The 16779-nt window shown below is 36.2% G+C and overlaps 1 protein-coding gene and 1 long non-coding RNA gene across 8 annotated transcripts in view; one reads left to right on the forward strand and one right to left on the reverse strand.

The window, feature by feature from the left end:
* JAKMIP2-AS1 (JAKMIP2 antisense RNA 1) overlaps positions 1 to 16779 on the forward strand; it is a 102016-nt gene that overhangs the window by 76295 nt on the left and 8942 nt on the right. The window lies entirely within an intron of this gene.
* Positions 1 to 16779, reverse strand: part of JAKMIP2 (janus kinase and microtubule interacting protein 2) — a 197291-nt gene that overhangs the window by 50851 nt on the left and 129661 nt on the right. For all 7 annotated transcript variants that reach the window (NM_001282282.2, XM_047417951.1, NM_001270934.2 and 4 more), the window contains 8 exons: positions 14050 to 14259; positions 12088 to 12186; positions 8562 to 8708; positions 7770 to 7910; positions 5420 to 5476; positions 4416 to 4535; positions 3344 to 3472; positions 677 to 760 (listed from right to left, as the gene is read on the reverse strand). In NM_001282282.2, the coding sequence (NP_001269211.1) occupies positions 677 to 760; positions 3344 to 3472; positions 4416 to 4535; positions 5420 to 5476; positions 7770 to 7910; positions 8562 to 8708; positions 12088 to 12186; positions 14050 to 14259 (987 nt within the window). The remainder of the gene's footprint in view (positions 1 to 676; positions 761 to 3343; positions 3473 to 4415; positions 4536 to 5419; positions 5477 to 7769; positions 7911 to 8561; positions 8709 to 12087; positions 12187 to 14049; positions 14260 to 16779) is intronic.

Genomic DNA, 16779 nt, shown 5'->3' on the forward strand with positions numbered 1-16779 from the left:
TTGACAAAGAATATCGCGCAGTCAGCATTTCAGAGTGGCACGAAAGAGCCTGTGTTGTCAAACCACTTTGCCAGAGCTGCCTTCTCCCCACCCTGTTTGTTTGCCTGCCAAAGACTGGTAAGTAGCACCCACCCCTGCCAGCTCCTTCAAAGAAATTGGGGCCAAAGTTGCCGGGAAAATTTAACCCCCTTTTCATCATCACTCCCTATTTCTACCTTTTCCAGTTTGAATAATCCAGGACCAGCCTTCTGGGGACTCAGAAGTGACCACACAGGCAAAAAGTGAAAAGGGTCAGAATGCACACAGGCTAGATACATATGGATGGAAAACATTAAAATGCAGAACCATAAATGTAGCATAGAGGCAAAGAACGCAGCTGGAGGGGTGGGTCTTGGTCTTAGCAGCTTATGACAACTCTAGGCTATTTGTACAGGGTTCCTCTTCCTCTGGCATTCTCTCTCTTGCCCAAGCTCATTCACTGTTGTGGCTGGGTTCATACTCTGGCCAGAAAAACACCAGAGACAGAAGTACAGAGTTGAACATTCTAACGCAGTTCGAGAAAGATCACTGTGGAGAGCCAAGCTGTGTCCTGGGTGCGGCCCATGCACAGGTGAGCTACAGGAAGGTCAGATTGAATTGTCTGCATCTGCAGAAGAGCTAGCAACCAAATGCCTACCTGCCCTTTCTGAGCCAGAGTCGCTTCCAGGTCTTCAATTTTGGCTTTATACCTTAGCACCTCTGCTTGGAGCTGTTCTTGAGCCTGGTGAAACCAAAATTCCAGAACTCAGCAAGTAAAATGGTTATTCAATACCTTTCTTGACTAGAACTCAACAAGTAAGAGAGAGAGAGAGGAAAAAAAGAAGAATTTTCTATGACAAAAGAATCTTTCTGATCTAAATTCTTGTTTAAAACTCCCTGTAGCATTCTTTATTTTCAGGTTAGTATTCAAACTCGTTAGCTTGGCATTCGAGAACTCCCATTATATTTCCAATCTTTTCCTACTACTCATCAGCCTAGAGCCAAACCCTCACCTGCTGGCATAATTCTTGTTTCCTAAATATGCCTTGTAACTCTCCACTCTTCTCTTTATTTGAATGATTTCTCTTTCATGAAAGCCTTGTTCCATTTTGCCTCCCCAAATTCTTTTGATTTTTTTTTTTTTTTTTTTTGAGACAGAGTCTCACTCTGTTGCCCAGGCTGGAATGCAGTGGCACAATCTCAGCTTACTGCAACCTCCGCCTCCTGGGTTCAAGCAATTCTCCCGCTTCAGCCTCCCAAATAGCTTGGATTACAGGCACCGGCCACCACGCCCAGCTAATTTTTGTATTTTTAGTAGAGATGGGGTTTCACCGTGTTGGCCTGGCTGGTCTCGAACTCCTGACCTCAGATGATCCACCCGTCTCCGCCTCCCAAAGTGCACCCGGCCTTTCCATTCTTTCAGAGCAAACTTTGTGCCTAAATTTAAGTCCCTAAATCAATTTCTCTCTGTCTTTCTCTTTATATATCATATTTTGTGTGTCTGTGTGTGTAAGTAGTTTTGAATACTAATCTTGTATGGAGCAACTTTGTTGTCCTATGTGATTTAGCTTAGTAATTTGTTTCCTGCCTGTAAACCCATTTTTTTGTTGTTGTTTTACAATCTGGATAGGTTTTTTAGTACAAAGTTGAATAAAAACAGCGATGAAAGATATCCTTATTCATTGTGAGGAGAATAATTCTTTTGATTGTTAAATATTACATTTACCTCTATCAGGTCCAAAAAATAATTAATTTTGCTAAGATTTATTTTAACTGTGAATTGATGTTGACTGTAACCTATTTTTTCTTGTACCTAATTTTATCTTTTGTTTTCAACGATGCTTTCATCTGTATTATTTTTTAATTTCTAGTCTCTTTAAATTTACTCTGTTGTTCTTTTTCTAACATCTTTATTTCTTGTAGATTATTTTTCTAAGAATGGTAAGTTTTCCTGACTTTAATGGTCAGAGAGAACGCTAAACCTTTATTTAGGTAGAAGAATTAAATGACACAGGGAGGAATCTCCAAAAAGTAAAAGAAGTCTCCTTTTTTTGGAGGAATCTCCAAAAAATAAAAATAAAATAATATGCTATTATTTTAATTCCCCAATCCATGTTGGTAAGAACACTTAACCACAAATATTATAGCACTGGGGCATATATATGACAGCCTACAGGCACATTCCTTTGTAATGATTGCTTGCCTGTTCTAAATTGGTGTTTTTTAAAAACCTGCTTATTTACTTATATATGTGTGTGTGCATGCTACTGTTGAAAAATGTATAACTGCGTTACATCTACCCTTTCCCACTGAACAATAGTAGTTCTACAAAACTCCTCAGTGCATTGTAGACCCTCCAGAAAGAAAGTAGGATGAAATCACTGGGTGGTCTCGGTGGTCATGCTGCCTTTTGGCTCATGTAAATTTACCTAGGAGGCAATTATAGCCTGGTGATTATGACTGTGAAGTCACAAGGCTAGGAAACCTAGGTAAACCTAGGTAAATAATTTAACTTCACTAAACTACATTTAACTTCTACTAAGCTATTATTTCCTCTTCTATAGAAAGAAGATAATAATCATATCTAGCTCCTAGGGTTGTTTTAGGATTATATAGATAATGTGTGTAAAATGTTCAACACAATGCCTGGAACACAGCAAGCACTCAATAAATATTAAGAATTAGTATAGTACATGTCTATCTTTTCTTTTTGTTGAAATAGGCTCATGAGAGGCAGTTATGATATAAAGGAAAGAACATTTGACCCAGTAAGACTTAAGTTGTAATATCAGCTTTGCCATTTACTATTTGTGCTATTTGGGGCAATTCAATTAACCTCTCTGAGTGTCAAATTTCTCTTTTATAAAATATCTGCCTTAGGGGACTGTCTCAAGGGTTAAATGAGATAGTGTCTGTGAAAATTCTGGTAAGTTGTCATACGTAAACGCTGGGCACTTATTAACGAAGAGAAGACACTGGCTCACTATTGCTTTTGAAAGATAAAAAAGTTCTTTTTCTAAGCAAGAAACTAAAAAATGGCTTAACAAAATCCAATATTGTCTAGCTTTGAAAATGTATGTTTTCAAACAGCAAGAACAAGAACTATGTACTCAACTATCTTTAAAAGAACAAAAGCATTGATCTAAGCTGGTTCTAATGTTTCTAGAGTCAAGGTTTGTTGACATAAAAGCTATAACAATTCAAAAGCTGCAGAGGAGAGAAGAATACAGGGAAAGCTGTCTTATTGATATTTTTATGTCCACAGTGCTTTTATGCTGTGACTGCTGCACGCTAATTCAGAGCACTCTCACAGATACACACTAACCTTGGCTTCTCGTTCAGCGTCGATGATGCCTCCCGTCTGCTCCTGTAGGAGGGCATATGCTCTTTGGAGGGCCTGATATTCTTTTGTTAATTGTCGAAATCTTAGTTCAGATTCTTCAGCTGCTAAACTCTTGAGGTTAAGAAAAAAAGCCCCAAAACAATTGTGTTATGTTCAGGTCCTGTTTTCAATGTGAAATATTAACATTTGCCCACTTTTTACAAGAAGTAAAAGGTTGTTTAACAGTCTATTTGATTTTATTTTTAGCTCTGAAGTGTATATACGGGCACAAATACTGTAATACTTTCAAGATGGACACTGCAGAAATACATAAATATTTATTTTAGTAAAAGAAGCATTTAGCATTTGATACATTTCTCATTGTTAATCATTTGAGCTTAGAATGTAGTCAATTTTGGATCCAAATAAGAAAAAGTCATATCCAGATTTTGGACCTAAATTTGAGGAAATGATACCCTAGAATTTTCTTATTTCTTTTCAGTATGTTCATCTCCAGCAACTTGTTTTTTCCCCCAGATAAATCATAAAATCTGTTTTATTGCATTACATCTTAAACTTCAGGACATAACATAATCAGCAGGGAATTTTGGGAAACAATGCAGACTGGGGTGTTTCACTCCTAAGATCCTGAGTCAGGAGTTGCATGGTAGAGTCCAGGACTTTTCATTGTAACTGAGCCCTCTAGATCATTCTGATGAGGATGGTCCACAGAACACACTTCACTCAACAGTGTCAGACCACATCCAAAAGCCTGCTAAGGCCTCTTGGGTTCCTACCTTCCCTAGATAAAGAATATTGGAAAGTAACTTTTATTTTGAAAGAAGTCTTCAAATTAGAGAGTTGAACTGGAGAGAAATTTCTAAAAGGTTTACCTGCTATAAGTGAAGCTATTTTTCAAGAGATAATAAAGTGCAGCCTCAAAATTGTTTACTATTATGAGATCACTTTGTGCTGTTTATATAAAGGAGATGAAAAGTGAAATCCTTTTTCTTCCCCCTTAAATCAAAGATTTGGTGACAATATCACCCTAGGCTAGAGAAGTAGAAAAGCTTACTTCATCCAAGTCATCATCAGGAGTAGCTGGTGTTCTGTCTGTTCTAAATGAGGCCATGGATGATGTCTCTGAATCCATAGAGTCCTCATCATAGCCAATAAACGGGTCCAAAACAGGCCTCTAAATGGAGGGAAAGTACCTATTTACTGACATAGCTAACAGTAGGGAAAGTTGAACGTTAAAATACTGTCAACTGGCATACGTGTAAGTGAATATAGAAGACATGGATCCTCTATGCTTCTTTGTTGAAATAAAAACATTAGGCATGAGCATAATTCCAATAAGTGTTTCTCTCATATTATTTCACTTCTGACATCTTAAGAAAAATTCATAATATGTAGCTTTTTTCATAGAAACACTGAAACCTCTTTCATATTACATTTTATATCATGATGAGCTAGTGTGGTTTACTCTTTCCTGTATTTAAACTATGACCAAAGGATTTTGAAAACTCAGGTATCTATGTGATGGAGATGATCAAATCTTAAGCCTTGTCATCCAAGTCCACATTAAAAACCAATGGTATACTTGGTAAAAACCAAAATAAAAATCAAATAGACAAACTGAATAACAAAACTTTGTGGATTATAAGAGGCTATACAGATATTGATGGATTGGGAGCATTGCTATCAATAAGATTGTCTGAATGAATAATGAAAATGTATTAATTGTCATAAGTGGGAGACATCAAATCATGTGCATTTCTTGAATATGACTCTCCAACTTGTCAGGTAATCCTTTCTACATCAAACCTAGGGGCATCTCCATTTAGAGAAAGTTATATTAAAGCAAACCCCTTTCAGGTTAAAATTTACAACATAATCATTTTTAGACTTCGAAGAAATGTCAACAGAAAATATTTTCTTCTAGCAAATAATGCCCATGGTTTGCTGCAACAGTTCTGGAACACCTGATTCATCACATCTTTGTAGGAAGATTCCATGCCAAGCCTCATCTCTCTGGCTGTTTGTGGCAAATGCCTGATAACTTTGATTTCTTATTACCTTAATTGGCTTGGAACTTCTTCTATGCTTTCTTCTACGGATGAGCTTTTCTCGGTCCTGGAAAACAGATGAAAGATTTTCAGATCCAGAATTGGTAGATGTTTCTTTATAGTTTTTTGCAAAGACAGAGTGTTCTTTCCCATAAGGCATTATATTTGGAATAGAATAAGACTTTGTTTTTTAAATTTTGGCAACTTTTGGGATTGATACTTAAATATATTCAAAACAAGAATCTTCTACAACTATTCCTGATGAGTTATGTGGATCAAGGAGCCTCATGATCAGAAAGTGTACTGTGTTCCTAATCAGAATCCTGTTTTATACTTGAACATCAAGTAGCTATGAAAATAGTTACTTATATTCCCCCAAAGCACAGTACTTTAGTTCTCCTAGATCCAAAATTACTTTAAATTTGTGTTAAAAATACAATTTCACAATAAAGTAAAACCGTATTCTTTTCATTTAGTCATTTGAAATGCATAGAAAGCTGTCTTTGGCCTATTTTTGCATCCTTGTTCTCACCTGCAGTCCCTGAAAATAGGACAGGGAACAGAGTAGCTAGCGGGTTGGAGCCATTTAGTGTTTCTGTTTTGTCTTCAGTTTTTAAAAAATTTTCTGGGAATCTCAAAGAATGCCTAGAAATATTGATCAATTTCATGATTTATTGTTGCTGTGAATAGAGATATCATGGGAATTTGGGGTTTATTCACTAAGCACTCCATGTATTTACTGTAAAAATTTAAACTAGATAGAATGTCTTTTGAAAAGTCCGATGAGTGTGCCTAAATAGCCCAAAATTCTATAAAAAATTTACAGCTTAATCTCAGGATACTCAAAGCCAGGCAAATTCCTGGGCTCATGAATTTGTAAAATGTATGAGTTATTAGGATGTGAAAATGAAATGAGGAAAACAGGGAGTAATGAGTAATCTTGTTTAAGCCAGTGGTGTTCGGGCTTTTTTTTTTTCACCTTTATAAGTAAAAATGCAGCCTCTATATATGAGACTTTTACAATTTACACATTATTGTGATGGTTAATATTGAGTGTCAATTTGATTGGATTGAAGGATACAAAGTATTGTTCCTGGGTGTGTCTACGTGGGTGTTGCCAAAGGAGGTTTAACGTTTGAGTCAGTGGACTGGGAAAGGTAGACTCACCCTCAATCTGGGTGAGCACAATCTAAACAGCTGCCATCACAGCCAGAATAAAAACAGGCAGAAGCACGTGAAGAGACTAGACTGGTTGAGTCTCCCAGCCTACATCTTTCTCCTGATTCTTCCTGCCCTGGAACATCAGACTCCAAGTTCTTCAGCTTTGGGACTTGGACTGGCTTCCTTGCTCTTCAGCTTGCAGATGACCTATTGTGGGACCTCACCTTGCGATCGTGTGTGCCAATACTCCTTAATAAACTCCCCATTATATATACATCTATCCTATTACTTCTGTCCCTCTAGAGAGCCCTAATACAATTATATATTTAAATTACCTTCCTAATCTAATGTATTCATTGTAACATATAGTCAACATAGAAATTTTAAAAAGGATGAATCATAAGTAATTATAAACAGAAGCTATAACCTTTCTCTGTCTCAGTGGCAGTGAATCACTTTTCTCACCTCACTCTGGAGACTATTGCCTAACTCCCTCCTTGCAATTCAAGTCTTTAGGCCTTGACTTGGTCCTGAAGTGAGAGCAACCAACGATGTCATTCACAGAACACAGATGGAGAGGCAAAGAAGAAAACCCAAAGGCACCTAGAGGTCTTAGTGCATCCTTACTAGCAACACAAACCTCAGCCAAACTCTGATGGAAGTAATAACTGCTCTACCCACTCAGTAGGTACTGAAGTAATGATCAGAAAATCTGGGCTGAAATTTTAGCTCTGTTATGTAATTATATTGTTGCTGTTCATCCAACAAATATTTGTTGAACTGTAACTATGTGCTAGACACTGAATTGAGACCTGGGAAACAAGGTATATATGTGATGTTGTTAGCATAGACAACATATTAAATCTCTGAGCCTCGGGATCCTGCTACTGGAAGGCAGTTACAAGACACACCCAACCTACCTACAAACTTATACAACGAGGCATTTAAAAGTTCTTTTAATGTGCTTTGCTGTTATTATTTGTGCTACCAAATTAGTTAACAAAGGGTTATAATTTAAAAGGTGTAAAGCAGTTGAACAATATAAAATATTGGAATACAGTCTCTAGAACAAAATTACATATTTAACATATGAACTTGGGCCTCTGGGGTTAAACTAAAATTAACTGCTTTCAGTGTATATTTTGTTGGCTACTTGTCCTTGGGAACAACTTAGGGTTTACAGATTGATTGACACGTACCCTTGTGAGCTCATCAATAATGTTCTGTTGCTCAATGACCTGAAGTTTTAGAAACTCTGTTTCTTGTTCTTCATTAGCTTGGTCGAGGTCATTCAGAGATTTTAATTTCTTCAGGGGTGGATGGGATGTTATTTTTTCTCTCTGGATTGGAAAAGAAGAAAGTACAGGTGGAGACTTTAAAAACCTCAAACTTTGGTTGTTAACATAAAATATCTGTAGAAAGTTTATGAGGCTCCAGCTAAATTTGGAAATTGCCCAGCCTGAATACACATACACCAACTAAATCCTCAAGCACATTTTATCTGCCATAATAAGTCATTATCATTGGGGATTGTCAAAGATCTCTATAGATGTATTGAAAGTCTATTAAGGAGTACATTATCATTTCACTTGTCCGCATATAACACAAGTAATGGTATCTATTTCCCAAATATCATGCACGATCTTAGAAGACAAGGTGTGCCTGGGGTATAGGTCTGTAAATAGCATGTTAGTGAAGTCATGGATGGTTTCTGTGGCTAAGTTATGTCAAAGCTTTCCTTCTCCATTTCCAAGCTTTGGAAAGTGTGCAAATTCCTGGAAGCACTCCTACAGTTTTGCAAATATAGAAACCTCATAAAATTCAGAGCCAGCAACCTTCTCTTGCTTTCTTCATTAAGGCTTCCTTGCTTACATAAGGAAAAATCCAAATAGCACTGTATTTTTAAAATAAGCTGAGAAATGGCAATAAGTCAGGTTATTAAGGTAATATAATCAAGGAAGCTGCAGTTTTGCAGAGTCTGTGATACACACCATTTCTGAATTTTCCTTGGTAACGGCTTTTAGTTTTTCTTCCATGCGCTGCAAGGACACCATCAGTTCATCGTTTCTCTTGGCGAGGCACTTGTTCCTTTCCAGGAGAGGTTTACATTGCTTTTCGGTTTCCCGCACACGTTTTAACTGGGAAGAAATAAGTGAAGATTTGTGTCTTGCGTTTGGGGGACGTGGGGGCAGGGGAGTAAAGTGGTGGGAGTGAAAGCACCTCTGGAGACAGCCTTGTCTCTGCTTCACTATGTGGCTGAGGACTGACCACTGACATTTCAATCCTTCATTTAACAGACTGTTTGCTTTCTTTTCAGTTTTCTCTAACGGTTTTTCATCACAGCCTTCATAGCCTTATATCAATCCATTGTCTTAAGGAAAGTACTCCAGAGACTGGTTTTGGAAATGCTCGGGAGGACGCGCTCTCCTTGCTTTCTTTCGCTTCCCCGACTTGTTACTCCACCGTGCTCAGCTGCAATCCCTGCACCTGGAATGACCTGCATTAGCTCAGAGATAAAGGAGCTCACCCAGACCACACGGCCACTAAGTAATGCGACCAGGAGCTGAATCCAAGCCTGGTTATGTCCAAAGGTCATTCTTTCAGAGACCTTGTGGAAATCTCCTGACTCGCACTACAGTTGTTATTTTAAAAGAAATTTTATCGAGGGGAAAAAAACCACACGTAAGTTTGAAACTCTGTGGATGTTTGTGTAAGGATATCAAATTCTCCCCAAGCTTAGTAAAGTATGATTGTATTGTTATCCACCCATAATTAAGAGTGAGCATACTCTCATTTGCTTGGTTAGTCTAAAGCAGGGTTTCTCAGTCTCGGCGTCTGTGACATTTTGAGCCGGATGTTTTTTTGATGTAAGGTGTCCTGTGCAGTGGAGGATGTTTAGCGGCATCCTTGGCCTCTGCTGGCTAGATGCCAGTAACACTCTGCTAATTGCGACCATCAAAAACATCAGATATTGCCAAAATCGCCTGTAGTTGGGAACCACTGGTCTAAGTTTATGAAAATTGTCTTGAGGGGATTGTCAATAGTCCTCCCCTTTACTTTTAAAACACTCCTTTTTGTATATTTCATGATCATCCTATACATTATAGATTTTCATTTTCAGCTTCTCATGATTAGCTTATTCTTTTCTTACTAATGATTCTGAATGTGAGTATGTATTGGGAGAAGAGCAAGGAAAAAGGAGGGCTGTATTCGAAATATTTGAGAAGACTTTTTAAAGTGCGCACTACTGTTCTTGAGATTCTAAGATTTTGGGAAGTGCTGAGGTGGAAGACTTAGCTAATTATGAATATTTGTAAAATCTCATCTTACGATTCTTAAACAGCACTTCTGCAAATCCATCTCAATCTCAATTTCGTATTAAAGAAATAACTCCATTTCATATTAAAGGCCAAAACTGGGTTTATTTTTACAAATAATCTGACTTAGTCCTGAAGCATTAATGCCTTAGTCCTTAGTGCCTGAAGCATTAATATTAAATATTGCATACATATAAGGACAATAAGTTATTCTTATTTTTTAATCTGTCTCTTCTGAAGGTCAATGATGTGAGTTTTAAATATTTAAATTTACTTATTAATACAATTCACAGAAAATGCAGATATACATAAAGAAAATATCTATAATTCTATCACATCATACATCAATAACCATAGTCCCACAATACCCAACAAAATGTTCCTTTTAAGATACACCTTAAATAAAACACAGAAAGGTTGGAAAAAAGTGTGTTTGTGTGTGTATATATGTATGTGTAAATATGTATGTATATATGTATGTCTATATAGTTATAAATACATATATATATACACATACACATGTATATGCACACTAACACTAAAACAAAAATCTGATGTAGTTCAACTAATAACAACGACTTTAAGCCAAGAAGTATTACCAGAGGAAAAAAAAAGCATAATGATTAAAGGGTCAATACACACAAAAAATATAACAAATATTAATTTATATTCATCTAGTAACATAATTTCTAATATATTATAAATACATATTATTGTTCTACATATAAAGTTAAATTTAAAGAACTAAGAAGGATATAGACAAATCTTTTGGGAGAACAAGCAGACAAAAATATCAGTAAGAATTGAAAAATTTTAAACAAGATTATTAACAAACTTCAATCAAACTGCAACTAATAATTACAGAGTATGCCTCCTTTTCATGTAAACATGTAACATTGCTAAAATTGACTGTATGCTGAGGTCATAAAGCAAATCTCAACAAATTTTGAAGGAATGAAATATACAAAGTACATTCTCTGACTATAGTAGAATTAAGGTAGAAATTGATACCAGAAAGATAACTAAAAAAATCTCTAAATGTTTTGAAATTAAGCCATCTACTTCTAAGTGACCCATATATCAAAGAAAAATTACATGATATTAGAAAAATTTTTGAATGAAATAACAATATATTAAACTAAAGCAAGGCTTAGAGGGTCAATTACAGCCTAAAATGCATATATTTGAAAAAAGGAAAGGCTGAAAATAACTCTTATATGAATAGCTCTATTAAAAACAAAAACGTAAGCCATAGAGCAAGATATTTTAAATGCAAATGTACCACAAGTGATGATAAAAAAAATCCTAATAGTAACTGAAACAGTAAAGGCAGCATAACAGAAAATGGGCAAAAGGCTAAGGACAAATTATATCTGAAAGACTAGTAAATATTTGAAAAGTTACCCTACCTTCTTAATAATGAGGAAAATTAAAACCATAATGTAAGGTGTAAGAGTATGCCCTACATCCACCAACATGACTAACAATTATTTTTGTATGTTGGAAAAGATATGGAGAAACTACCACTTTCATTCATTATTGGTGGGAATTGTGACAACTCACTGTTTGGTAATAACTATTGATGCTGACTACATCCATACTCTAACATCCAGTAATTCTACTCCTCTGCATATTCCACCAGAAATGGGCATATTTTTTCAGAAACGACATGTAGAAGCACTGTTCTTCTCAAAACAGCTCAGAAGTTTTAAGAAACAACATAAATGTCCATTAACAATAACATGGATCAGTATATTGTGATATATTATTTGAATACTATAGAGAAATGAAAATGAATGAATTCTACATGCAACACAATGGATAAATCTCACAAACAAAGCTGAGTGAAAGAAGCAGAAGAAGTCAGACAAAAAAGAGAAAATATTGTATGATTTCATTTACAAAAAAATGTTTAATGGTGATAGACATCTATGGCGATTGAAGTCAGAATAGTGGTTAAGTTTAACAGGATGCTAATTGGGAGGGGTCACAAGAAGCGGGGGTGTGAGATGCTGGTAATCTTCCATTTATTCATCTGGATGGTGGTTTTTTGAGTGTGCCACTTTGTGAATATCTATTGAATGGTATCTTTATTATTTGTACACTTTTCTCTATTATGGTACGTATCTATAACATAGTATGTAATTCTGTAACATAATGCTTAACAACAACATCAACAAAAATTTTTAGTATATCTCACCAGTTCATTTCGTTCATCTCCAAGCAAGGTATTCCTGTCTTCTAATTTTCTTATAGTGGCATTCAATTCAGCTATTCTCTTTTGATTTCTTCGCAAATCCTACAAAGAAAAATTAAAATGGGTATTTCTTCAACAACACTTTTCACAAAGTTTGGGAATATCACTTATTATTCATAAAAGTAATAGGCTCAGTTCTCTTATCTGGCTCCTGAAGTGAGAATAAAATATTCTTTTATCCAAAGAGTAAATATTTACCCTTTTATAACTCTCAATATTCACCACTTGGGTTGAAGACCACGCCAGGTTGTAATTGCAAATGAATTCCATGTGGCAGATACTCCCTGGATCCAGGACTCAGGGCAGGGAGAGTGCAGAGGGTTGGATCAACTTATCAGAGCTGTGTGCTGTGGGACCAAGGTCATGATGTGATTACATAAGGTTCAAAGGGCATCCCTTGTGTCATGGCCACACATTGCTTCCCACAGCTTAGACAGCTGTCCTGGTATTACCATTAGCCACAGAGGGGAGAGAGTAGGAGGTAGGGATTAATATTGTCAATTCCTTCATACTCCTGAAGAAAAAGGTCAAGGTGAGAAAATGTTGATGTATTACCTTCATGTATAAAGGTCAGTAGTTTATAGGATAGGCCTGACTAGTATATTCTGCCCAATGCAACTGGCTTCTCCACTGGCAGAATGGCTGTGAATCACCTTACACAGGGCATTCATGGCTTAATTTCATGTTGTAGAGTTATATAAGACTGTTATTATCATATGCTAACAATTATATTATCATCTTACATTTTGATAATGCTGTACTGTTGACAAAGTAGTTTCAAATACATTATATCCCAGCATTCATAATATCCTAAAGGATTCAGTAGAACAGGTAAAATTCAGATAGGTAATAACTCCTTTAAGGTCTTGTGGCTAATGTCAAAAGATAAGTAACTAATATGTATTAAATGCTATGTGCCAGACACCATGCTCAACATTTTACATATTATCTCTTCTAATCTTTAGACCAGCCATATGAGGTACTACTATAGCTTCTATTTTACACATGAGGAAACTGAATGGTGAAGTGGTTTGCCTAAGGACACACAGTAAATGGCAGATTTGGGATTTGAACCAAAGAGTCTGACTCTAGAGCCCATTCTCTTGACAACTATGCTATATTGCGGGTACCTGTCAGTGTCAGAACTAAAACTTACAGAAACTGCTAAATCCTAGATAAGTACTCCTTCCACCACCTACTAAGATTATATACATATATATATATATTTATTCTGAATATCAATTCATAAATTATTCATTACTTAGTTCTAAGTAGTACTTTGGAACCCATCTCTGTTCCTAAATAATACATTTCCATTATTATAGCAGCAAAATAATTGGAAAGGTATAAGAGTTATAGCCAACTGCATATAAGCCCATTTCTATTGCGCACTTCCGAAAATAATTTCTCATATAAAATGATGAAAATTCATGGAAATAAGTGGTAAGTTCAATCAGACAATAAGTCTTCAGATGAAGATTAAAAATGGTTTTGTCTTTTATGCAGTTATACATTTTGACCCCTGTAGATGACAACCATCTTTATCAATTTCCAACCCAATTGTTCACAAAAGGGAAAATTACCAGTGTAGGCAAGAGGCAAAATATTTTCATCTAATTTATGTTTCTTATAATAGACTTAAGTTTGGATAGGTATTGCCTGGCTAGAAAAATTCTAGGAAGGATTTAAAGAAATCTATCTCATGTGATCTGCTAATGTAGTGCAGACCACTTAGTTGTCTATGAGTTTAGAAAACCCTGTTCTCAAGATACTAGCTGATTTTATAGTAGAAGGTAGATTGATTTCTTTGTAGTAAACAAGAAAAGAGCTTAAGTAAAAGGTAAAACTTGGGAGCTAAATAAAAGATGACTTGTGCATTCTTAACTTCAACTAGAATGGACTTACAGGACTGCTGCAGTGTTCGGAACCATCACCTGCCCTTCCTGGAATTTCTCGTTTTGGGCTGCTCATGTTGCACTCAGCCTCCTTGACCAGAAAGAGTTGTTCGTCCAAAGCCTCCTTCTGAAGTTGGAGTTTCTGTACATAGCCTGTCTGGGTCTCCAGTTCCTTTTCCAGGGAAAAGATGATCCTGTCCTTGGCTTTGATTTCATCCATCTGAATTAAATGAGACCCAGGACATTTTATTTAACAATGCTGTAAAGAAATACATTTTTACAATGGTGTAGGTTTAACTTCTTTTATCTGATTGATACAGAAAAAAAATCACGGATTTGATAAGTGTATTGGTTTCATGAGTAAGATGAGGCAACATTGTGTAATGAAGAAGTATCCTGGGTTAATTAGGTGTCAAGGAGAGTAATTTTTTTTCTCTCTAGTATATCCTGTGAAGATGTTTTGACTCAATATATTGTTTGAAATAGTCTGGGTTGATTAGATATGCAAAGGACAGTCTAACTTTAAAATAGCCATTAATTTTAATAAAGATGAACATTAAATATTCCACTCTAATGTTTCCTAGGACATTTTTTGATGTCACTTCTTCTTTGGGCAAATGGGTATTCAGATTCAATCAAAATAGCTGTTGCTCCTGTTAGTAGCTGGTCATTTGTAACTGAAGAAACTTCAGACTTCCCAGTGGCCTAGTCATTTTTCCAAGACTAACATGCTTGCATTCAGGTGATGGATTTGGAGGGAGGTCCTTCCACGGTTCATGTGTTATATCTCTTTCTGTTCTCACTTGTATTTCAGAGCAGCCAGTTCTTAGCAACCATTTTATCATTACTATAAGAAAATCATGGTTGGGATTAACAGGAATAGAAAATATCTGGCAATATTAACCACTATTTTCCCTCCCACATGTGTGAGATATATTTATTGATCCAAATATGCATTTCTGCTAAGCCTGGGCATGGCCTCAGAAGAATTTCTCAACTAAAGGCCACAGGCATTCAATACCAGTTGATTTGAGTTCCCTTGGAATGAAACCTTTTTGCCATCCTAGGATGAGGGCTAATGAAGTGAATGTCTATAAACAATTTTTAAAGAGAGCATAGCCATTGGGTGAAACCTTTCTTATCGTTTCACTATATTCTATGTGTACATTCAAAATGGAGATAAGGAAAAGACATTTAATACAAACAACATTACGCTGTTTTGCTTTTTCTAAAAGTGTCTCCTTATACAAAACAATACTTTTGTATAAATTTTTCTTTGCTGTGTGCTCTTAGACCAGAAAAAAAAAACCTGCAACAGAAATGGTGTTACATAGTCACGTATTTTCCACATATAAATATCTGTGAGCTACTGCCTGTGAGTCACATGCTTAAATTTTAGGTCAATTCTGAGAGAGCTTTGGGCTAAATTCTGCATGATCTTGTAATATCATCTGATAACTTGGTAAGAATTCAATATTGTCCCGTTAATTGGGAATAATAGCATTGTCTTTGGTTTCCGTCTCCTTGTAGAAGACTTGAGACCTGTGTTTTTCTTAACTGAGCAGCATGTTCATTTGTCAGACTTGTCAACTGGAGCATTACTTTTATTTGCAGGTTAACATAGCTCTAGTTACTTTTCATGAGTTGACATAGCTCTAGTTGTTTTTTATGTACTCACCTTGTTAAACTTGTCGAGAAATCATTCTATTACTGCCCACATTCAGCCTCATTATCACCATCATCACAGCTGAAATTTATTGATCTTTCACTATATTCAGGGTACTATACTCAGAGCTTAATATGCCTTATTTTATAACAATCCTATTCAGTAGGTTCAGTCGTCATCATTTTACAGGTGATGACTGAGGACCTGAAAGCTTAAAAACTTGGTCATAGTCATATGTCTAGTAAGTTGTGAAGCCGTATTTTTAATGGAATCTTCTAACTATAGAGCCCATTCTGTTAGGTACTATGCTATACTGGCTTTAAGATTATTCATATACTTTAAGCATTTCCCAAAGTGGTTTCCTGTGGGATATATAGTAATTAGCATTGAGAAAGCTTTATTGCGTAGCAGTTATGAGCATGGACTCTGATCTCAAAATACTGAAAATCAACCAAAGCCCTACTTAGATGGGAAAGGGTATAAACCAGAATTCTCTGGGGAAATTTTCTAGACAGAACAACTCCCATTTCTCTCCCTTTCAGTTCCAAAAATGGAGCTTGGGGTAGGGGTAGGCACAGAGTAAAAAGAAGGAAAAAATGAAGATGAGTATATCTGCGCTATCAAAAAAGTTTCCTATGTTATTCTGTGTTCATGCAGTTTGTGAACTACTCATAAGGTGGCTCAGATTTACTTTTTAAAATTTTAATGTTTATTTTACTTTAAGTTCTGGGATACATGTACAGAATGTGCAGGTTTGTTACATAGGTATACATGTGCCATCGTGGCTTGCTGTACCTATCAACCGGTCCTCTAGGTTTTAAGCCCCGCATGCATTAGGTGTTTGTCCTAATGCTCTCCCTCCCCTTGCCCCCACCACCTGACAGGCCCCAGTGTGTGATGTTCCCCTCCCTTGTCCATGTGTTCTCATTGTTCAACTCCCACTTATGAGCGGGAACATGCAGTGTTTGGTTTTCTGTTCCTGTGTTAGTTTGCTGAGGATGATGGCTTCCAGCTTCATTCATGTCCCTACAAAGGACATGAACTCATTCTTTTTTTATGGCTGCATAGTATTCC

The sequence above is a fragment of the Homo sapiens genome, chromosome 5 (assembly GCF_000001405.40).
Source record: "Homo sapiens chromosome 5, GRCh38.p14 Primary Assembly".
Lineage (NCBI taxonomy): Eukaryota > Metazoa > Chordata > Mammalia > Primates > Hominidae > Homo > Homo sapiens.